Source organism: Homo sapiens, chromosome 4 (genome assembly GCF_000001405.40).
Source record: "Homo sapiens chromosome 4, GRCh38.p14 Primary Assembly".
Classification (NCBI taxonomy): domain Eukaryota; kingdom Metazoa; phylum Chordata; class Mammalia; order Primates; family Hominidae; genus Homo; species Homo sapiens.
This window is the reverse complement of record NC_000004.12, coordinates 124,169,463-124,194,229: the sequence shown is the minus strand read 5'-3', so window position 1 is coordinate 124,194,229 and position 24,767 is coordinate 124,169,463. Positions and strand designations below refer to the sequence as shown.

Genomic DNA, 24,767 nt, shown 5'->3' with positions numbered 1-24,767 from the left:
CATTATTACATATGGTGATTTGAAATCAGTGATTTTATGATACTATTGTAATTGTTCTGGGGTACTTCAGACTGTGCCCATAAAAGACTGCAGACTTAGTCAATAAATGCTGTGCCTATTCTGAGGGTTTCGCCATCTAGCTGTTGCCCCATCTCTTTCTCTTCTTGGGCCTCCCTATTCCCTAAGACACAACAATATTGAAATGAAGCCAAGTAATAACAAGATAATGGATGCTAAGTGTTTAAGTGAAGGGGAGAGTCTCAAATCTCCCACTTTAAATCAAAAGGTAGAAATGATTAAGCTTAGTAAGGAAGGCATATCAAAAGCCGAGATAAATAGGTTAGATGAAGCTAACACAACATTCATTCTGTAGCCCATGAATCAGGAAATAGTTCCAACTTTCAAGTCTTATGATTCAAGAAATACATATTGTAAGGCTATAGCTGGTATAGACTGTGATTCCACTGATGGATCTGAGCAGAGTAAATTAAAAATCTTCTAGAAAGAATTTACCATTCTAGATGCCATTAAGAACATTCATGATTCATGAGAAGAAGTCAAAATATCAGCATTAATAGTAGTTGGGAAGAAGTTAATTCAAACCTTCATGGATGACTTTGAGGAGTTCAATATTTCAGTGGAAGAAGTAGCTGCAGATGATGGAAATAGCAAGAGAACTAGAAGTGGGGCCTTAAGATGAGATTAAATTGCTGCAACCTTATGATCAAACTTTAACAAATGAGAAGTTGCTTCTTATGGATGAGCAAAGAAAATGGTTTTGTGAAATGGAACCCACTCCTAGTGAAGATGCTGTGAACATTGTTGAAATGACAACAAAGGATTTAGAATATTACATAAACTTAGTTGATGAAGCAGTGGCAGGGTTAGAGATGATTGACTCCACAATTTTGAAACTGTGGATAAAGTGCTATCAAACAGCATTGCATGCAACAGAGAAATATTTCACAAAAGGAAAAGTCCATCGATGCAGCAAACTTCATTGTTGTCTCATTTTAAGAAATTGTCACTGCCTCACCAGCCTTCAGCAACCACCACCCTGATCAGTCAGCAGCCATCACATTGAGGCATGAGGCAAAACTCTCAGTTAAGACTCACTGAAGATTCAGAGGCTCATTAACGTTTTTATCATGAAGTATTTTTTAATAAAGGCACATAAACTATTTTTTAGGCATAATGTTATTGCACATTTAATAGACTATAGTATAGTATAAACATAACTTTTATATTAACTGAGAAGCCAAAAACATTGTGTGACTCACTTTATTGTAATACTCACTTTTTTTGCAGTGGTATAAAACTGAACCTGCCATATCCGTGAGATATGCCTGTACATTGCTGATGGGAAAGTAAAATGATGTAGCCAGTTTTGCTTTTGACAATCTGACTATAACGTGTTTCAGTGTGGCTCTCTTTTAAATTTATCTTACCTGGAGTTCTTTGAGTGTCTTGTATGTTTAGAGTCATGTCTTTCATCAAATTTAGAGAACTATGACCATTGTTTTTAAAATATTCTTTTTGCTCTTTTTTCTCCTCTCCCACAGAACTCCCATTATTCATATGTTAGTGAGCCTGATAATGACCTGAAAATCTCTTAGATTCCATTCATTTTCTTTATTTTTATTTTTTTGGCTCCCTGGAATAGATAACCATAATTAATCTGTTTTCAAATTTGCTGATTCTTTCTTCTTTTTGCTCAAATTAGCTATTGAATTCCTCTAGTGAACTTTTCATTTCAATTATTGTATTTTTGGCTCCAGAAAGTTTATATGGCTCTTTTTAAATAATTTTTATCTATTGACATTTTCTATTTTGTGAAGCATTATTTTCCTGGCATCCTTTCATTCTCTCTCCATGGTTTCATTTAGCTATTTCAACATATTTAAATAGTTGATTAAAATCTGTCTAGCAAATCTAATATCTGGGATTCTCCAGGAGGCTTTTCTACTAATTTATTTTTTCCTGTGAATAGGTCATACTTTCTTCTTTCTTTGAATGCCCTGTAATTTTTTCTTGAAAACTAGACATTTTGAATATTATAATGTGACAGCTCTGGAAATCAGATTATCTTCACTCTCAAGTTTGTTGTTGTGGGTTTTATTTTTTAGCAGCTTTTCTAAATTATGTTTTTATAGTCTGTATTCTTTGTCTTGTGTGACCACTGTAGTTTGTGTTTTATTAGCTTAGTGGTCAGCTAGCATTTTAACAATTTTCTTAAACTTCAGGAGCTAAAAAAAAAAAAGAAAATATGCTTTTTTAGTCTTTATACATCACCTGTTTTTTACAGTCCTTCAACTCTTTGGCAAACTGTTTACCACTCTGCTTCAGCCATCACTTCCTGACTGTGTGGTGCCTGAAGGTGAGCCAGAGGTAAAAACTTAGGGTTCTCTCAGGCCTTTTCCCTTTGATATTTCAGGCTGACTGATGTAATAATTTAGAAATCAAGTTATTGTTAGGACTAAAGAGCCTGATCATTGCTTAGCAAGCCCTTTTGCTTTTCTGCTGCATAAAAACTATCACCTCAAAACTTAGTGGCTTAAAACAATTTATTATTTCTCATGAGTCTCTTAATCAGCTGAGTGATTCTGCTGATCTGAACTTGTCTCGGCTGATCTTGTCTGGGTTCACTCAAGTGTCTATAAAAAGCTGACAGGTAATCTAGGGTTGATTGGTTTAGAAAGTCCCAGGAAGGGAAGCATCACATCTACTATAAGTGATCTGTTACTCTTTAGCAGGCTAGCCCAAACTTGTTTTGGAGGTGATGGCAGGGTCAGGAGAGAGAAAGAGAAAGGGAGAGAGAGAATGTAAAAACAAGCTAATTTTCTTGAAGAGTGAAAACTGGCAGAGCATTCTATTGGCAAAATCAAATCATAAGGCCAGTCCAGATATATATATCCGGATATATATATATCCAGGGACTTTACAGACCCTGAGTTACAGATATATATCAGGGAAAAAATGTGCTATTTCTGTAACTCAGGGTCTGTAAAGTCATGCAGCAGAGTATAATGCTCAGGGGGTAGAGAACATTTTTATAATCAATTTACCAAATGAACTGGATAAAGCTACTTACTGAACCTGCAAAATACATGATATCCAAGTTCACTAGTATTTCTTTGTATCCAATGATACTCTAGAAGATTCTGAATTCCCCTTGAAAGATATTTTAGAAGACTCATATTAGAGCATTTAATACTAATTATATATCTCACACTGAATAAATCATGCTGTGGCTGGGCACAGTGGCTCATGCCTATAATACTAGCATTTTGGAAGGTGGAGGCAAGAGGATTACTTGAAGCCAGGAGTTTGAGACCAGCCTGGGAAACAGAGTGAGACCTCATCTCCACAAAAAATAAAAAATTAGCTAAGCATGGCAGCATGTGCCTGTAGTCCTGGCTACTCAGGAGGCTTAGGTGGGAGGATCTCTTGAGCCCAGGAGTTCTAGGTTACAGTAATCTTTGCATGCACCAATGCCTGCCAGCCTGGACAACAGAGAGAGATCCAGTCTTGAAAAAAAAATGTGATGACAGAGTAATTTGAAACTGGCTAATTCAGGGTTAATTTCCAAACAAATACTTGGTAGTTAAAAAAAAGTGCAGGTTTCATAAAGAACAAATATTCTGAGTTTTTGGGAATTCAGTCTGTCAGTCCTGCCAAATTTTGCTCTGACACATTCCATGTAGACAGACAACTATAGCAGACTTGAGCAGGTGCTATTTGTGAAATATAATAGGATTAATTCTTTGTAGTTTAACCAGCACACTCCATATTACAAATCAAGTCAACTCAATGTCAGTCTTCTAAGGAAATATTTAGCTTTAACAAACCATAATGTGTTGCTAAGAGAGATAAAATAATAATAACAATTACAGCAGTGAAATGTTGTAACCTTCTGACAATGACCTTATTAACATTTCAGTTTCTTCCATGAATTAAACTTGTCAAGTTTATGTAGACAGCATTTGAACTGACTACATTACACATGTGCTATTGTAAAGCTTATGCTATATTTTTTAAATAAAACGTAAAGAAGTGTGTCAAACAAGGTGGAAAATCCTGGAAGGATATGTGCTAAACACTCATAATAGGTCAAAACAACAGCTTTAACTATCTCATTTTAGTGATATAAAACTCAAGACTTAAATGGAAGACAGTTTATAATATAGTTCAAAGTTATTTATTTTTTCCAGTTTTAACCAATGTTAAAGATTCAACATACTTCATTGAGAAATAAGCTATATAGTATATCCTGTAGCTTTACAGAGCCAGCAGTATGCTCAGAACATTTTTCTTGTGGAAAAATAAAGAAAGTATACATACTGAAGGTGATTAAATTGAAGACTGACAGACTTGCAGCCTTCAAGAACAGATGATTGACCACCATTTACCCTTGGTATATTACACACAGGATATGCTTCAAGTGTTGTCTAAACAAAGAGAAATTTCACAGTGCTCAACAGTGTCATATTTAATACAATCTTCTGGGGTAGAGGCTAAGCAACTGGATTGCTATCAAGAACAGAATGTGTTACCTCTAATGAATGTCCTAGCCAAGCACGTGGTTACAAATGGAACCCAAGATTACTGTGTTAGGACTGACCAGAAGAAGATGAAGTTTCTACCAAAAGTCAGAATGATTAAGTGAATAAATTAGAAATAGCCTGAAGGATTGGTGGTTTCACTTTTAAAAGCTTTCTTAACAATAAATGCAATTGATATGTTCCATGCATTAGTTACTCTTCTGCATAGTTAGGCCAAATAACTAAATGGTCTCATGACTTTGAAAATGCTGTTGGTTATACTCTTGGCACTATCAGACGCTGTACCCTTTTTCTGTTAAATACTACAAAAATTGTCTATAACCTCAATACCAAGCATGTTTTCCACTTATTTAAATAATTGTTCTTCACTTTGATTTACCACTGTGTCTCATCTTTTCTGTTGACTTACAGTTGTCAGGATTGAACTACAAAGGGGCCAGGAAATTATAATAAATGGGAATACACATGCAATAAATAGCATCTGTTTTAGAGAACAATCCTACCACTTGGCTAGTTTTATTTCCTGAGAAAATAACTATAATCTTTTTATTATAAACCTTACCAAACTCATGTTTAGGCAGCTATGAATTTGTATATTTGCTCCACTAAGGGATAACTTATTAACTATGTAATTTATCTCCTTTCTCCAGCTCTTCATGGCAATAGAAAAGGTTTCAACAAAACACCTAGTAACATAATGTTCAAGTTTTAAAACTCAAGCCTAAAAGTAGTCACAAGAGTCTGCTGTGCGATCGTTGTGAAAGCTTGTCCTTGGCTGCTTGACTTTCAATTATACATGTGATCTATAAAAATACAAGAATTTTATTTGAATAAAGAATTGTAAGGTCATTCAGATTTGTGTATAGGATTCTTAAATACTTCCATTTGTTCTGTGGAATTGAAAGGAAAATGGAAACAGGACAGGATTCTAAAAATAGCACATCATATGCCCCTGCACAACTCCTATTTATGAATGCTGCCCCCCCAAAAAAAACAAAAAACCAAGTCTGTATCAAAGCAATATGATTTAACTAGTAATTTTTTTCACATAAGAAAATTTGTAAGAAGATATTCATGTATGCATTATAGTTTACTTAAGTTTGCTTGTACTTTAGCAAACTGAAATTGAATAAAAGTATTAAGTGCTTTTTCAGTAGCTTTGTAATTATGACATGTTTTATATACCATAGTGCCATAGTTTCACAGTACTTCAGCCTGGGGCATCCTTAATATAAACACCAGGCCATTTCAAGAAACCATTTCTGCCTTCAGTTATGAATTATATGTTTTAGTAACTCGACTCCCTCTTTCTTCCTAGTAATTCCCAACAATCTGTACACTTACTCAAAGGTTTGTTCAGGGAGAGTCCAGTTATGTTAGTACTCTAATTCTCTCTGGGTTGTACTCTAGTCATCATTCTCGCAGAGCACCACTGATGAACAATTGTCTTTCCCCACAGTCTGAAATTGGCTGACCATGGAACACCTAACCCGAAAATATGCATATCCCTTTCAGAGGGCAAAAGTAAGTAAAGGGTCTTATATTGTCTGGACTGCTCACTAAATCAATTTTAACTTTAGAAGTAGAATGGGGTATCATAGCAAAGAACCATGGTAACATATGGCCATATGGCATGTAAATGTTAGTGTTTAATTAACAATGAAATTACTATTTCAGAAGCTTCTATATGTGGAAGTATTTTCATTTTAACGGACAATATACTGATTTTCCACTAATACATTTTGATTTTGTTACTTCCTTTATTATTTTAAGAAAACTGGTATGTTATATTTTGTGATTACTTTTAAAAATTCAAACAATAATTTTACTCAGTTTGAAATTTATTTTCCTAAATGCAATTTGCATATCAAAGTGATCTCCAGGGATAAAACAATTCATAAATTAAAGTTTTGTACTAACACCTAATAAGGAAAATTGTTTCTTCTAGCCTAACACTAAACTTACTTATTTTTAAAAGATCACCACTATATATTTATTTCATATACAGTTGGGTCTCCATATCCATTGGTTCCCCATTAATGGATTCAATCAACCACTGATTGAAAATCCATGGGGAAAAAAATGAATGGTTCCATCTGTAGTAAACATGTACAGACTTTTTCTTGTCATTATTTCCTAGAAGTGTAGCATAAAAACTATTAACATAGAATGTACATTGTATTAGGTATTATAAGTAATCTAGATGTGATTTAAAGTATACAGGATAATTTACATAAGTTATATGCAAATACGACAACGTTTCATATAAGGAACTTGAACACTGGTGGATTTTGGTATCCATGGGGGTCCTGGAAGCAATTCCCCAAGGATACTGAGGAAAGACTATATATTGATAGATTTAAGTGAAAATGAGTAGAAGTATACTTAGTTATACTTACATATTAATTTTATGAAAATTGTAAATCAGAGCTGAATTTTAATGACTGATTGATTTCCTCTTTCAATCATCTTCTCAAAATAAATACCTCAAAATCCATTTGCATTGCATATCGCATTTTCTTGTTTATTCTATCCTAAGACTAAATAATTAATGCAGTCATTTTATTTTGAGGTTTTGAGAAACAATTAGATTAAAAGTTGAGAAACATGAGTTTTATTTTGCTTTTTTAATGAAAGTAATTCAGTCTTTTGAAACTCAGTTTTTCAAATGGGTAGAAAGTGTTTTAGAAAACAATTTTAAAGCACATTTTCTCTACAGAGTCCCTGCGTTTTATTTATTTATTCGCATAACAGGATTTTTACATCAGTATTATAAAGTGAGAATGGGTATGTTACTTTCTAAAAGCTAAACCAAATCAAACAAACTATGAATATCCCTTAATGACCTTAGCATAAGGTCAAGATACAAAAATAAAGATACTCAAAATCTAGTCCAGGAAATCCTGAACTACTGTAACTTCTTGGTGATCTTCCTACTATTTGTATGAAACTTTTTGAAGGTAAGAAGCCATTAACCTTATAGGAAAGAACTGTTTGTTCTTTATCATACCAACAAATAACCACCAGAACCAAGCTGTTAAACATTCAAGTAAATATGTATGTGTCAGTCCATTTTGTGTTGCTATAAAGAAACACCTGAGCCTGGGTAATTTATAAAGAAAAGAGGTTTATTTTGCATATAGTTCTGCAGGCTGTACAACAATGGTACCAACATCTGCTTGGCTTCTAGTGAAGCCTCCAGAAGCTTTTACTTGTGGCAGATGACAAAGGTGACCAGATGTGTCACATGGTGAGAGAGGGACCAAGAGAGAGAAGGAGGTTCCAGGATCTTTTAAACAACCAGCTCTAATGTGAACTAATAGAGTGAGAACTCAGTCATTACCGTGAGGACAGCACCAAGCATTTCTGAGGGACCCACCCCCATGACCCAAACAGACCCACTGCCAACACTGGAGATTACATTTCAACTTGAGCTTTGGAGGGGACATACATCCAAACCATATCAAAGTGAAATCTTGCTTCTGTAACCGCGCCATAGAAAGGCAACCACTAGTGAAAATCTGTTATTTCTGAGGTCAGCCAATTAGCGGTAACCTTACTGAGTAAATATATTTCTGCAAGTCAACTAATCAGTGATAGTCTCACTCAAATAACCAGTTTCCTAGCCAAAAATAATCAACCAATTCCTAAATATTTCTGCTTCTGACAGTTCATCAATACTTGAACACCAAGCTTCCCAAACCCCTTTGTAAGCTCTTGGTTTTCTCAGAAAGACTGTGCCTTAATAGTACAACTACATTCAGATTTTGTGTTGGGTACTGATTGATTGTCTTTTTTACACCTATAATTATGATAAGACAAGGTGGGAGGTAATATCACTGACCCTTTAGGAGTAGTTATAATGAGGCTTAAATAAGTACAGACTTTTCTATTTCTCTGGTAACAAGGAATCTAGAAGTAGAAAGAACTAGGTTCGTAACGGGATCAATGAAATAATCAAAAGTCCAGTCTCCTTCTATTTCTCTGTACAGTAATCATTGCTGATGTCTTAGTACAAAGAAAGAAAAGAAGAATGAATTTGGGATAGGCAACTAGAATAGTAGTGACTGCCACAATATTATAATGGTTAAGAGTCTGGTCTCTATAGTTATATTCCCTGGGTTAAATTTTGGTTTTGCAACTTAAGTTGCATGACATTGGACAAATTATTTAATCTTTCTCTAAAACTTACTTTTGTTTGTAAAAGGACCTACCATAGAGAATTATAGTAAGAATAAATTATATAATACACATAAGCCATTTAAAACAGTAATATTGATACTGTTATTGCTATATAAATATACTTACGTTCACTTCTATTGGTTTTTCATGAAAAGTGGCATCACAGGTAATTTTCTGTTGTAAGTTTTCTATGTAGAAAAGAAGATCAAACTAAGATTTTTTTTTTTGGCCTGCCAAAAAGGACATAAAACTTTTCTTAAAAGTGTAAAGAAAATTTGCACCAGATCGTATTTATAAAAAGTAAGCATAAGATTGTCTGCATTTTACCTCCTTTGGCTTTCATCTGCATGTTTTCATTTGCAAAGAAATCTAGTCCAAACATGGTAAAAATTATTGGATAGTCCTACTTCCCACCCCCTTCCAAAAAAATCAGCCCACATTGATGAAAGTTTATGAACCTTGGCAAAACTTTTGCTGAACCAGTCTGAGTTTCACATTTACTTGAAACTGAAACCAGGTGAATCTCAGATTTTGTTATGAATGCTTCACAATGTTCTACAAATAAAACATGATTTACGTAACAAGAAGTATTTGATCCTTGCCTGTTTGTAAGTCTTCAAAATTTCTTAGTACTTACACCTGAATTTTATGCTTTACACAATACTTTTCAGCCTGAATCCTTCTTATATATTTTTAAGCCTTATCATTGGAAACAATGACAAATATATTCTAATACAATAAATATATTTTTGTAGTAAACGAGTCTGACAATTCCTAGAAATTCACTCTTTTCCGAAGAAGTGTGTCATCGAGTAAGGGTTTGTTCCTCTTAAACAACCTTTGATAAAATTTTATATAATATTTTTCAATCTTTATGCTTACAATTCCACATTTATTAGTCTCAAGTATATCAGTTGAGATTAATAAATGTGGAATTCTAAGCATAAAGATTGAAAAATATTTAGGGTTGTTAATTCTCATGAGCTCTCTAGACTGGTTTTATACATTCTTGATTTCTTGATAAATATCATACTGATTATTTACTGACACATCTTTTTTTATTTTAATATGAAGGGAAGAGAAAGAGCAACAAATGTGTCATAATATATATTTTTATTTGTTCAGTAATCTTGTGTTATATAAGGCCCAGAGACAAAAAATATTTTATTTTTTATAATAATGTGTTTATTTCTATATTAGAACAAATTAATGAGTAATCCTTGTGAATACAGATTTTATAATTATGTTAGGTGAGTACCTAAATTTTCATGGGCTATAAAATTTTCCTCTCCTAAGTAATATGATATAGGCAGGAAGAGAGCATACTTTAGTAATTTAACAGCTATTCAGTGGATGGATTTTCTGTTGTGAAATACATGGTGAGAAGGACAGAGGCTCATTTAAAGCCCTTGAAAGGCAATAGTATAACTTGTATGTTAGAAAATAAATCAGTAAGGATGAAGTTGTGTAATACAAATTGGATATGTACAAAGAAAATATAGTCTAAAAGCAGGAATAAAATCAGTTTGATTAAGTTGCATTAAAAAATTATCTGTCTCATTAAAAAGTGTTCCTGTATTTATTTTTTCAATGATATAATCTAAGGCTTTTTGCTGAAGGATATATATATAGACAGAAAAAAGAACAATAAAAAATGTAAGGCTCAATGAACCCTCACAACGTGAACACTCCCACTTACCAAGCAGTGAAATAGAAATAGAATCGTACCAGCTTCTTAGAAAGTCCCCTTGAGCCTCCTCCTGATTAGTACCCATCCCTTTTTCAAAGAGTAATTACTGATGTGATTTCTCATATCGCAGATTTGTTTTCTCTGGTTTTGATATGTACATATGTGGAATAATTCAGCGTGGACACATTTTGCATCTGATTTCTTTTACTGATCATTGTGGTTTTGAGATTTATGTTTGGAATGTGGCATTAGGTTTCTTATTCTTGTTTTTGTAAAGTATTCCACAGTTGCTTTATCTATTCTATTGTTGATGGATGTTTGCATTGTCTTTTGATGGATATTTATGACTCTCTATTGTGTACTTACCTAAAGTAGAATTGCTTTCATAAGGCATGCATATATTCAGCTTAGGGAATACTGTCATAGAATGCGTTGGTACAAGTGGGTTTTACCAATTTCATTCTCACTAACAATGTATGAACATTCCTCCTGTTTAGTGTCCTCTCTCACATGGTCTGGAATTTTCATCTTAGCCATTCTGATAGACAGATAGTAATAGTCCATTATGTTTTTAACTTGAGCTCCTTTTCGTATGTTTATTGGTCATTGAGATATACTTTGTTATGCAATGCCTGTTAATCCTTTGCCTGTTTTATTAACTGGGTTGGCTACCTCTTAAAATTAAATTTTAAGAGAACCTTTCATATTTTGAATATAAGTCCTTTGCCAGAAATATTAATTGCAAATATCTCCTCATTCAATGTGTCTTGAAATTTCACTCTCTGAAAGTTGTTTCCTAATAATTGGAAGTATTTAATTTTAATATAGATAATTAAGCAAAATTTTCTTAATGATGAAAGCTTTTCTATATCCTTATTCATTTGTTTGGCTCAAGCCATACAACATAAACTATCCTGATGATTAAACAAGTGGGCAGATAGTTTGTGAGTTCTGCTAGGCAGTTAGCAAAAAGATTGAAGTGCATTTAAAAGAGAAATATAGTCAACATTTTGTTTTAGATAGACTAATGATATTGACTATAAGAGATTTGTAGGAGAGAGACTTACATCTGGTAGATTGATTAGAGACTATTTCAGTCATTTGTGTGAAAGATAACAAGTCTATAAGGTAAGGCAACAGCAGGGAACTAGGGAGGAGAAAATTAATTCCAGAATAATTTAGATAATCAAATTAATAAGACCTGGTGGGACCAAGGAAAGGGAGAAAGAGAAATCATGAATGATCCTGGGTATCTGGCCTGAGTGATTAGTTAGACAGCAGTATCATTAACTAAGACCGGAGTCTATATTTTGAAGGGAAGATTTGGGAATATTAATAGTTTAATGTAGGCTATATTGAATTTGAAATGCCTATGAGATATACATGTGAAGATATTCTATTCAAGTATGAAATACCAGTGTATTAGTCCATTCTCTTGCTTCTAATAAAGACATACCTGAGACTGGGTCATTTATAAAGGAAAGAGGTTTAATGGACTCACAGTTCCACATGGCTGCGAAGGACTCATAATCATGGTGGAAGGTGAAAGAAGAGCAAAGCCACGACTTACATGGTGGCAGGCAAGAGAGCACGTGCAGGGGAACTCCCATTTATAAAACCCAGATCTCATGAGACTTATTCACTATTACCACAACAGTATGGGGCAACCACCCCCATGATTCAATTATCTCCACCTGACCCCACCCTTGACACATGGGGATTATTAGAATTCAGGGTAAGATTTGGGTGGGGACACAGAGCCTAACCATATTAACCAAACTAGGTAATTGCTTTTTCTTTTTTTTTCTTGTTTTCATTTTCTATTTTTTAATAATAATTAACATACTAAATTGGTAATAAGACCAACAAAACAAAAAAAATGCATCTTCCTCACTCCTCCTTCCATCCAGATAGTAGAATGTGAAAATGAGTAACAGCTCACCGTCCCAGGATCCTGCTATTTAGTTGTCACTTCTGGAGCCCATGTGCCTGAGGCCTACTCACACCTTCTTCATGGATGATCAGATTCAGGATCCATGGCCCAGCAATTGGTTGTTTCTGTGCAGTTTTTGAGGCTAAATAATCAGCAAATCCTTGTCATTTTCATGCACTAGGAAGGCTTTGGCCTCATTCTCCTGGTTTGGTCTTCTTTGTTGCCTGGTCAATGTTTCCAGCTCTTTCTAGGTCTGTGGCCTCTTCATGAATTTGTTTCCATGTGGCTCATTGTCAACTTCGTTCTTATAAGCTCCCTCCTCTGGGGTTTAGGATTGTCTCTCATCTTCATAAAACTTTGAAGAAGTCAAAACTAAATATTTGCCTACAAATGGGCTTTTTGTTATAACTCCCTGCCTACTGTTTACAAACCACAATGTTGAATGTTTAATGTCTTTTATGTGTAGCATTTCACTAATAATTTACATTAGTTGCTTGTACCCTTTAGCCATTTTGACGTGTTACTCCATCAAAGCCAATACAATAAAGAAAAAGAGCCATTGCAGCATAAATTATAAATTTAAAGAAAACTGTCCAGCATTGTTAGCACATGAGTTGTCCAGTTACTAAGTTGACACTGCTACATTGAGCAAAACCATATTTCCTGATGAAGCTGCACAGAGGAAGGAGTCAGATTCAATTAGTTCTGGGAAAATGGTCATCCTCAAGAGAAAACTGGTGATCTATGTAGTCTCAGAAATACTAATTTCTTCCTGCAATAAAAATAAATATATTTCCTGACGCTTGGAAAAGCACAAAATAGAGGAAACAAAATAAGAAATTTGGAAGAATCTGAATGGCCCTGTGGAGGAGTATTTCAGTGAAAAATGTTGAGGGAAAATGATAAATAGTTGCCTGAATTTTAGGGTTGTGATACCTTGGCCAAGATATTTTATAGTAGGTATGTTACCCTCAAAACATTGGAAGAGGCCAGGTGCAGTGGCTCACGCCTGTAATCCCAGCACTTTGGGAGGCCGAGGCGGGCGGATCACGAGGTCAGGAGATCGAGAACATCCTGGCTAACACGGTGAAACCCCGTCTCTACTAAAAAATACAAAAAAAAATTAGCCGGGCACGGTGGTGGGCGCCTGTAGTCCCAGCTACTCGGGAGGCTGAGGCGGGAGAATAGCGTGAACCTGGGAGGCGGAGCTTGCAGTGAGCCGAGATCGCGCCACTGCACTCCAGCCTGGGAGACAGAGCGAGACTCCGCCTCAAAAAAACAAACAAATAAACAAACAAACAAAAACATTGGAAGAAAACAATGCCCTAGACTCTCCCTTTATTTCATGTGTCACCCCATTCCATCCCTGACAACAGACAGAGAAAAGCATTATCCTGTGATCTTGATAGATAAGGATACCAAAAATCTTGACCCTCAACTGCTGGTGCCCTGGGCTACTGCAGAGATCTGTGCAAGTCATGCCCTGCCCAAGTCTAAAACTGCCATTCACCTGTCCTAGAGAAGGACAGTCACTAACCTGCCAACTCTGCAGCCTTGCCAGTGTGAATTAACCCAGACCTTTAAGAAATGACATTAAACCCAAATTCTTCCATGGCATTGTCATTTTTTACTGGTATGAAGATATAATTCATTGATTATCATATAGTAAGAAACATTGCAAATAAATGCTTAGGCCAGTTGAGTTGGCAATACTCTTTCTTACTTTCCTACTCCCAACTTCTACTTTCTTAACTTCAGCATTTTTATTCCTTTCTCATATGTTTCAATTAGCAGTAACAAGAACTTTGAAGCAAAACAGCTTTAGGCTTCCAGCCATCTCAACTTACAGGAAACACTTTTAGCCAAGGTTTCCCCTGTGTCTCAGAAAAAAGCCGGCATCACACCCCGCTCCCCGCAGGTCGTACTTTTCTCAAGGGTTTGGTCTGGTTGGAAGGCAGCACCTGGCATCTGACCTTCATATTGCACATGTACACAGGTGAGATTGAGAAAGAGAGGTGAGCAGACCTGCAGACTGGATCAGAAGTAGGAAGAGAAAGAGACAAAAACAGTTTGGGATCCAAAGAGCCTAAACCCTGTTTGCTTTGGCCTTCAGACATGGCAGCTCAGCAACAGGAAATGCCAGTTCATTAAAGCCTTCACATGGCATCATCAGATGACAGCCATCAGCCCCCTTGGCAAGATTCTCAAGATCACACAGAGGGGGAGAAACAGTAGGAACCAACACGAATGTCTGGATTTCCCTTCTAAGACAGGAGTGTTTACTAGGCTGGCTGACTTACCAAGCTGTTAGCAGAATTAATGTGATTGCCTTGGCAAGGATGAGAGGATGCAGATCTCCCAATTTTGATGCCACCTTTGAATTCCAGTGATTATCATGTATGCCATGGACCTAATGTCATTTGGGAGATGAAGGTGGCTTGGGTTGGGGATTGAAGAAACATCACCAAAAGTAACCACTACTGATTAACATTGACCATTTATAGGTGTAAGGGGAACAGGTGTTAGAGACAGGCAGGAGCCACCCCTGGACACATAGCTTTCTGGATCCAGTTTCCAAGAAGGTGTATTTATCATGCTTGTCACATCTTTGAATATGTCACTTGGGTTATCACCTTCAGTAGGGGATCACTTTGCTCTAAAAACTTCTGGCTAAAAGCCTTCCCTGTGAGGGGATGGATTCTACTTATCTACAGCTCAGAGTCTGTCGAAGAATTTGTTGCATTAACAAAACTTCAGTTTCTTGTTTCCCAGGGGGAAGAGGAAGAATACTCACCTCTGGTGCTACTTACATGGCACCATGGGGCTTCATCCTCTGGGAAGGAACAGGACACTGAAGTAGCGACACATTTGTAAACTGCATGAAACTCACCACTGACTAATCTGTGTGCTTTTGTTTCCCTTGGCCCACTTGATCAGTAGCTTTGCTAACCAGTTTCCACAGCCTCTGGAGTCTTGTTGCCATCGAAACCCATAGCCAAACGTGAAATGAAGGCACAAATAGAAATCACTACAGTCTGTCTTCAGGAAGATTTTTATGATATTCCCCAAATAGCTTCCCCAAAGAGGCTAAACTTCATTGTGAAATGCATGGCAGAGAAGCAGCAGACACACAGATTCATTCACCATTGAGGAACTTGCCTTTGCTTTCAACATCCCAGCTGGCACCCTTAACTCCTCTTGGCATCTATCTCTTTTAATCACACCATGCTTGGGCAGTGAGGCCAGGCAGATTTAGGCATCCAGAAGGCCCACCGGGATCTGCTAGATGCAAGTAGTAGGAAAGGGAGGGTGTCTATGACTAAGCAGGGACTTTTAGCCTCAATTTTATCCCAGGTGTATGCAAAGCTTCCTCTTACCTACTGAGCTGCAGTGAACTGTGATCCAATTGTGAATTTCTCAAAGAGGCTAAACTTCTAAGGCTTTGGTTATTACTGCACAAGGCATCCTAGGTTCTAAAGTACATTTGAAAATACAATCCGCTCCTCCAAGAGAAATGTACCTCCTTTATTTCACACAGGTCCACCTGTCTAAGGATACCTTCTCAGTGCTGTAACAATGGCTACCGTTGTAAATCTGCTCAAATACCCACTACTCCTTGTTTGTTTATATAGAATTGGTGGTAAGGCAAGGATTTAGGATATATTACAATGGATGATTTACTTAACAATATGAGTCATATTCATTGTTGTTCACTCAGCAAGAGTATTTATGTGACTCACACTGTATGTGCAAGTCACTATGCACAGGCAAAAGGAAGATCGATTAAGAAATGCTTGAGTAACGTTTCAGGTACTGTTTAATGGAAAAGCTAAATTAAATATACTTTCTCTTAAGAGGCTAAACTACTGAAGATTGAAATAAATTTTGATGTTTATTCTTCATTTGGTGGGATCTATACATTGATATATGAGTCAAGTGAGTAACAGAAACAATCTCTGGGTAACTAATCATAATAAAGAAAGTAAAGTAAATAGGATAGCTCACACAACTTCCAGAGGGGGCACATAACTAGGTTTGGAGGCTATGCTGTCAGACATGACACTATAATAATGTGCAGAATTGTTCAGTGAAACCACCACTGTTGCCATTACTGAGCAGACACTGGTGCTGTCACTAGAACTCCAGCTACCCCTGGAAATTAAGGAGCTACTTCTTCCCACAGAAGAATGAATTGTCCATGGTATCTGCTTCTTTTGATCATTAGATTCTAAACCAAAGTCTGCAATAAAAATATCTGATTGACAGAACCTAACTTATATGCACACATTCTACCTGCATATAGAGGTGGAAAGCCTCTATATAGTACTTCAGTCTCTAAACTGGGAGATGGACACTGCCAAAATTGAGAGAAGAAGAAGGAGAGAAAGATAATTATTTGTTCCCAAACCCAGAGCCTCTGCTGCTATTATCCTATCAGGGTTTTCTGCAATCTCTATGGAGATCCTTATCTGCCATAGACCCATTAGTAATATTAATTCCCTAAAATATAAGTAGCATGAGCAGCTGGAACCAAGTGGAAAAACTTCTGCTCTGAGCTTGACTGAAAGTTGGTAGCTTTGTGGGTGAGTCAATCATCAGAGAAACATCCCCAAATGAGGTATATGTGCCCTCCAAAATCTAAAGATGTTATTTAAATGCTGTGCTTCTTTCTTAGTTGTAGGGGTGTTGGGTGCTGCAGCTCACCCTTTACTGGGAAAGGAATATTTTGAAAATTCCAGACCACCAGAGCAGAATTACTGATTTTTCCTTTTGCTTCAGTCTCCAATATGGCTCAGCATGGTATTATTAGTGATGTTATCTTTAGTTAAAATTTTGATTTTTTTTCATTATGGGTTTTTCACATTAACTTTTCTTCAATTATTGCATTTAAATATTTTCTACCTTGATAAGGTTTTTAAATTGTGTGCCCTTGACAAGTGCTGTGCTAGTGCTGGCCCAAGTTCAGGTGCATCCTCAGGTGTTCAACTTCCCTGTTTTCACATGCCTCTGGTTATGTTAGGGGAGACAGAGCATACACTTCAGAGAGAATAAAGTTCTAGATAGGGGTATGTGCATGTAAAATAGGTTAGCAGGAAAAATCTCACACAAAAAAGTGACATTTGAGCAAAGCCTCAAAAGAAAGGAGAGAAGCCTAGATTTGAGTTTAAACAGATTAGGTAGATCTTAGAGGAGTACTCCTTGATATGGGCTTTGGGACTTAGTGATTGAGTGACCATTACCAGACATCTCTCAGAATCACACATTGGGATTATTATCAGCTTTTCCTCCTTGCCTCAGCAACTAAGGTCTCCGCCTCATTGCTTGGCCTCTGATACTCTGGAATTCTTGTCTCTCCACTGAAATTCGGTAGCCAATTTAATACATAAACTTTCACCAGCATCTCTAGCCAACATAAAACACCCGTACTCATCCAGAGTTAGTTTCTAGGACACCCTGAGGGGCAATTACAAAGTTAAATCTGAGAGAAAGGGGCTTAGGTATTCAAAATAACAACAGATTTTATAATAGTATATAATATAAATATTATATATATGTAAAAATGCTTATATAATATCTGAAGGATACCTGTGAGAATACAGTCTTAGAGAACTAGACTAAATAGGGAAGAACATAAATTCAGACTGATCTGAGTTTATCAATATACGTGTGCACGTACCAGAGTCCGAATTCAGTGTGTGAACTGGAGCAGTTAGAAGTGGTTCTAATGTGCTCGCCTGAATGCTTTTAGTAAACTTAGGACTCAATAGTGATCTCCAATATAAAAAGTGGATATGTCATAAATGCCTTGAAATAGTGTGAGAGAAGAATCCAAACACTTAGGGATTCTATATATTGGAGTGAATTTATCATATGTAATATACACACCCACCTCTAACATTTCCCCTCAAGAAGGCCCTGAACACTGTCCTTTAAGACATTGAGAAATAGATTTTTAGGAGACATATTGTTATTGTATTATGTATATATATATACATATATATATATCTGTGTTATGTGGATATGTTCAACAGACTTGAATAGAATTACTATTGTCTGAAGAATGTCGTTTGTTCCAAAACTACATTCAAGTTATATCAGAAAGCTAGACACAACAATGATATGAAAGAATTTGTCCCAGGATACAACATTGCAGAAAGAAATCAGTGTGGAAAATTAACTCTCTGGCTTTAAGAATTGGTGAGATCTCTCCTGATAACATTTTATGTACCTTAGTGCTTTCATTGTAAAACAAGATTAACTTGTTTTAATTAAACAAGATCAATTTATTTTTGCAAAGGAGCATAAATTGAAAGGATTCTCATTGCAATGATTTCCAAAATCTTAAAAGAATGAAAAGCTTTCCAAATAAACAGCTTTTAGTACTAAAAAACATCTATGTTACAAGGCAGACATTTAAACACTAAAATAAATTCTAAATAAATTTGTTGGACCAGTAAGAAACTTAAGTAAAAAATCCCAGTTTTCTGGTAGACATATTTCTTGAATCTGTCTTAAATTATCTAAGACTGCTTGCTTCTGCTCTAATTGTTTCAAGAGTTCACTATTGGGATGCCCAATTACCACCTTAACACCCCCGACCTCACCTCTTCAAAAGCTGAAGCTAGGCTCTCAGGTCACACATATGTTACCTGGGTCTAAAGTCCTCATCACCTTAAAGGCTGTTCCCACAATTTTGAATCACTGGGCTTGTATTCGTGCTTACCTTTTCATTTTTTATAATGCTTTGGCACATTCATCCTATTACTTGTAATCATATTTTTGATCAGCAGTTTTTCTAATTCTGCTGACATAATCACCACCCTATGTGCCCTTATTTCACTTTTCCCTTGACAGTTAAAGTAGATTTCTATATAGTCTGGTGTCCTCACTCTTTTCCCTGTCTACACAGAATCATCTTCTTTAAAATACATCTCAACTTCAAATCTTTGCAGTTTAACTACAGTGGTACTCCACTGCCAGGCAATTACATTAAATACTTCTGCTTGATATTCAAGGAAATCCAACAACTTGTTCTCTTTATTCTTTAATATGGTTTCTTGCTTTGATCAAGAATATGTTTCTGTCAACTCTTACAATAGTTTTGAGTTTTTAAGGGTTCACTTGCCTGTTCCTCCTTGCATCTACTTGAAATGTTTCCCCTTGACTTGAATCTACCTGTATCCTTTTCCTCTTTCCCACTGGTGTGGCTGTTCTCTGTCCCCTGATACGTATAATTTGCATTTGAGCTCATGATACACCACATTGAAGCATTCTTAGGTCTTTTCTATATGAGTGTATGCTGTGCCTTCCATATGAGATTATCGCTTTCCTAAGAACAGATGTCTCCTATTTATTTTCCTAACACTCTAGTAATGTTAGATGTGAGAATCAAACTTCACTGTGTTACCTTATAAATCATTGATTCTAGTATTTAATGTAAATCCTGTGGACCCCAGAGAGTTAATGGATAAACTTCAAAAAATTGATGACATCCCCTCCCCAAGATTGTGTTCCACAACATAAAATGTTAAGAATACTGTTCTATTTGAACAAGAATAACTTCACAGATGAAGAAACTGAAATCCAAGGTCAGAAAACTAACTTGTTTGAGGAGAATAGACTTTCAAGTCCTTGTGCCTTTTAATTTCTGGACTCAATTACATATACCCTTGGGGATATAAAATTCCATGAAAGGTCTTCAAAATCCATTACTCTGCCTGCAGGAAGAATTTGTCATAAAGATTGCAGCAGATGCAACCCATGACACTATTAAAGATCTCCTGGGAAAGGAATTTTATAATTTCCTTCAGTTTACTTTCACGGAAACATAAAACCAACCTCTTACAGCAACCACTACATTATATTACTTCACTTTCTTATATCGTGAAACACACACACACCCTAGGGCCTTCTCTTTAGGAGGAGATCAAATAAAAAGTGTAATTTACCTCACTTATACTCTCTACCAAATATTATTTTAACTTGAGCTTCATTTGAATATGAAAATTAAACAAAAGTAATACCAAATTAGTTTTTTTTAAACTGTATATTTTATTTTATGTTAGGTTCTCAGATACACGTGCAGAATGTGCAGGTTTGTTACATAGGTAAACGTGTGCCATGGTGGTTTGCTGGACCTATCAACCCATCACCTAGGTATTAAGCCCTGCATGCATTAGCTATTTTTCCTGATGCTCTCCCTCCCCACAACAGGCCCCCAATAGGCCTCAGTGTGTGTTGTTCCCCTCCCTATGTCCATGTGTTCTCATTGTTCAGATCCCACTTATACATGAGACTATGTAGTGTTTGGTTTTCTGTTCCTGTGTTAGTTTGCTGAGAATAGTATCTTCCAGCTGCATCCATGTCCCTACAAAGGACATGATCTCATTCCTTTTTATGTCTAAATAGTATTCCATGGTGTATATGTACATGTTTTCTTTATCCATTCTATCATTGATAGGCAATTGGGTTGATTCCATGTCTTTGCTATTGTGAATAGTGTGCTGCAGTGAATATATGCATGAATGTATCTTTGTAACAGAAAGATACACATGCATGTATCTTTTATGGCTGCATAGTATTCCGTGATGTATATGTACCACATTTTCTTTATCTTATCTATCATTGATGGGCATTTGGGTTTATTCCATGTTTTTGCTATTGTGAATACTGCTGCAATGAACATATGCATGCATCTATCTTTGTAACAGAATGATTTATATCCTTTGTGTATAAACACAGTAACGGGATTACTGGGTCAAATGGTATTTCTGGTTCTAGGTCTTTGAGGAATGACCACACTGTCTGCCACAATAATTGAAGTAATTTACATTCCCACCAACAGTGTAAAAGTGTTCCTATTTATCCACAGCCTCACCAGCGTCTGTTGTTTCTTGACTTTTTAATAGTCACCATTCTGACTGACATGAGATGGTATCTCATTGTGGTTTTAATTTGCATTTCTTTAGTGATCAGTGATGTTGAGCGTTTTTCTCATATGTTTGTTGGCCACATAAATGTCTTACTTTGAGAAGTGTCTGTTCATGTCCTTTGCCCACTTTTTAATGAGGTTGTTTGGTGTTTTTCTCGTAAATTTGTTCAAGTTCCTTGTAGATTCTGGATATTAGACCTTTGTCAGATGGATAGATTGCAAAAATTTTCTCCCATTCTGTAGGTTGTCTGTTTACTCTGATGATAGTTTCTTTTGCTATGCAGAAGCTGTTCAGTTTAGTTAGATCCCATTTGTCAAATTTTGATTTTGTTGCAATTGGTTTTGGCATTTTTGTGCTGAAATCTTTGCCGGTACCTATGTCCTAAATGATATTGCCTAGATTTTCCTCTAGGATTTTTATAGTTTGGGGTTTTAAAGTTTTTAATCCATCTTGAGTTAATTTTTGTATAAGGTGTAAGGAAGGGGTCCACTTTCAATTTTTGCATATGGCTAGCCAGTTCTCCCAGCACCATTTAATAAATAGGGAATCTTTTCCCCATTACTTGTCAGGTTTGTCAAAAATCAGATGGTTGTAGATACATGGTCTTATTTCTGATTTCTCTATTCTGTTCCATTGGTCCACGGTCTGTTTTTATACCAGTACCATGCTGTTTTGGTTACTTAAGTCTTGCAGTATAGTTTGAGGTCAGGTAGTGTGATGCCTCCAGCTTTATTCTTTTAGCTTAGAATTGTCTTGGCTATATGGGCTCTTTCTTGGCTCCATATGAATTTAAAGGTAGTTTTTTTTTTCTAATTTTGTGAAAAATGTCAATGATAATTTAATGGGAATAGCATAGAATCTATAAATAACTTTGAGCAGTATGGCCATTTTCATGATATTGACTCTTCCTATCCATGAGCATGGAATGTTTTCCATTTGTTTGTGTCCTCTCTGATTTCCTTCAACAGTGGTTTTAGTTCTTCTTGAAGAGGTCTTTCATTTCCCTTGTTAGCTGTATTCCTCGGTATTTTCTTCTCTTTGTAGCAATTGTAAATGGGAGTTCATTCATGAGTTTGCTGTCTGCTTGTCTACTGTTGATGTATAGAAATGCTTGTGATTTTTGCACATTGATTTTGTATCCAGAGATTGCTGAAGTTGCTTATCAGTTTAAGAAGTTTTTGGATTGAGATGATGGGGTTTTCCAGATATAGAATCATGAAATCTGTAAACAGAGACAGTTTAACTTCCTCTGTTCTTATTTGAATACACTTTATTTCTTTCTCTTGCCTGATTGCCCTGGCCATAACTTCCAATACTATGTTGAATAGGAGCAGTAGGAAAGTGCGTCCTTGTCTTGTGTTGGTTTTCAAGAGGAATGTTTCCAGCTCTTGCCCATTCAGTCTGATATTGGCTGTGTGTTTGTCATAAATGGTTCTTATTATTTTTAGTCATGTTCCATCAATACCTAGTTTATTGCGAGTTTTTTACATGAAGGGATGTTGAACTTTATTGAAGAACTTTTCTGTGTCTATTGAGATAATCATGTGGTTTTAGTCTTTAGTTCTGTTTATGTGATGAATTACGTTTATTGATTCGCATATGTTGAACCAGCATTGCATCCCTGGGTTGAAGCTGACTTGATCATGGTGGATAAGCTTTTTAATGTGCTGCTGGACTCAGTTTGCCTGTATTTTATTGAGGATTTTTGCACTGATATTCATTAGGAATGTTGGCCTGAAGTTTTACCTTCTTTTTTTGTTGTTGTATCTCTGCCAGATTTTGGTATCATAAAAAGAGTTACAGAGAAGTTCCTCCTTTTCAATTGTTTGGAATAGTTTCAGAAGAAATGGTACCAGCTCCTCTTTGTACCTCTGGTAGAATTCAGCTGTAAATCCATCTGTTCCTGGGCTTTTTGTGGTTGGTAAGCTATTTATTACTGCCTCAAACTCAGAACTTATTATTGGTCTATTCAGGGATTCAGTTTCTTCCTGATTCAGTCTTGGGAGGGTGTATGTGTCCAGAAATTTATCCATTTCTTCTAGATTTTCTAGTTTATTTGTATAGAGGTGCTTATGGTGTACTCTGATGGTTGTTTGTATTTCTGTGGGGTCAGTGGTATTATCCTTTTTAGCATACTGTATTATGTTGATTTGATTTTCTCTGCTTCTTTATTAGTCTAGCTAGCAGTCCATCTATTTCATTACTTTTTTTCAATAAACCAGATCCTGGATTCATTAATTTTTTTATGTTTCTTTTCATGTCTCTATTTCCTTCAGTTTTGCTTTGATCTTGGTTATTTCTCATCTTCTGCTAGCTTTGTAGTTTGTTTGCTCTTGGTTCTCTAGTTCTTTTAGTTGTAATATTAAGATGTCAACTTGAGATCTTTCTAGCTTTTTGATGTGGGCATTTAGTGCTATAAATTTCCTTCTTAACACTGCTTTAGCTGTGTCCCAGAGATTCTGGTTCACTGTCTTTTTGTTCTTATTGGTTTCAAAAAACTTATTGATTTCTGCCTTAATTTCATTATTTACCCAGGAGTCATTCAGGAGCAGGTTGTTCAATTTTCATATAGTTGTGTGGTTTTGAGTGAGTTTCTTAATCTTGAGTTCTAATTTGATTGAGCTATGTGGTCTGAGAGACTGTTTTTTTATGATTTTAGTTGTTTTGCATTTGCTGAGGCATATTTTACTTCCAACTGTGTGATCAATTTTAGAGTACGTGCCATGTGGCACTGAGAAGAATGTATTTTGTGTTGATTTTGGGTGGACAGTTCTGTAGATATCTATCAGGTCTGCTTGAACCAGAGCTGAGTTTAAGTCCTGAATATCTTCGTTAATTTTCTGTCTTGATGATCTTTCTAATATTGACAGTGGGGTGTTAAAGTCTCCCACTACAATTGTAAGTCTTTTTGCAGGTCTCTAAGAACTTGTTTTATGAATCTGAGTGCTCCTGTATTGGGTGCATATATATTTAAGATAGTTAGCTCTTCCTGTTGAATTGAACCCTTCACCATTATGCAATGCCCTTCTTTGTCTTCTTTGATCTTTGCTGGTTTAAAGTCTCTTTTCTCAGAAACTAGTATTGCAACCTCTGCTTTTTTCTGCTTTCCATTTGCTTGGTAGATTTTTCCTCTATCCCTTTATTTTAAGCCAATGTGTATCTTTGAACATGAGCTGGGTCTCTTGAATACAGCACACTGATGGATCTTGACTGTTTATCCAGCTTGCCATTCTGTGTCTTTTAATTGGGGCATTTAGCCCATTTACATTTAAGGTTAATATTGTTATGTATGAATTTGACCCTGTCATCATGAAGCTAGCTGGTTATTTTGCAGACTTGTTGATGCAGTTACTTCATAGTGTCAATGGTGTGTTACTTCAACGTGTTTGTGTAGTGGCTGGTAATGGTTTTTCCTTCTCATATTGAGGCTTTCTTCAGGAGCTCTTGCAAGGCAGGCCTGGTGATAA

General features: G+C 35.9%; 2 long non-coding RNA genes across 4 annotated transcripts in view; one reads left to right on the top strand and one right to left on the bottom strand.

The window, feature by feature from the left end:
• The window catches only part of LOC105377406 (uncharacterized), a 129,167-nt gene extending 119,490 nt beyond the window's left edge, over nucleotides 1-9,677 (bottom strand). For 2 of the 3 annotated variants that reach the window (XR_001741817.2, XR_001741818.2), the window contains exon 1: nucleotides 8,871-9,677. This is a non-coding gene — a long non-coding RNA (uncharacterized LOC105377406). The remainder of the gene's footprint in view (nucleotides 1-8,870) is intronic. The other variant, XR_001741813.2, reaches the window with a different exon arrangement.
• Nucleotides 1-24,767, top strand: part of LOC105377407 (uncharacterized) — a 218,744-nt gene that overhangs the window by 57,951 nt on the left and 136,026 nt on the right. The window contains exon 2 of the long non-coding RNA XR_939176.3: nucleotides 6,022-6,086. This is a non-coding gene — a long non-coding RNA (uncharacterized LOC105377407). The remainder of the gene's footprint in view (nucleotides 1-6,021; nucleotides 6,087-24,767) is intronic.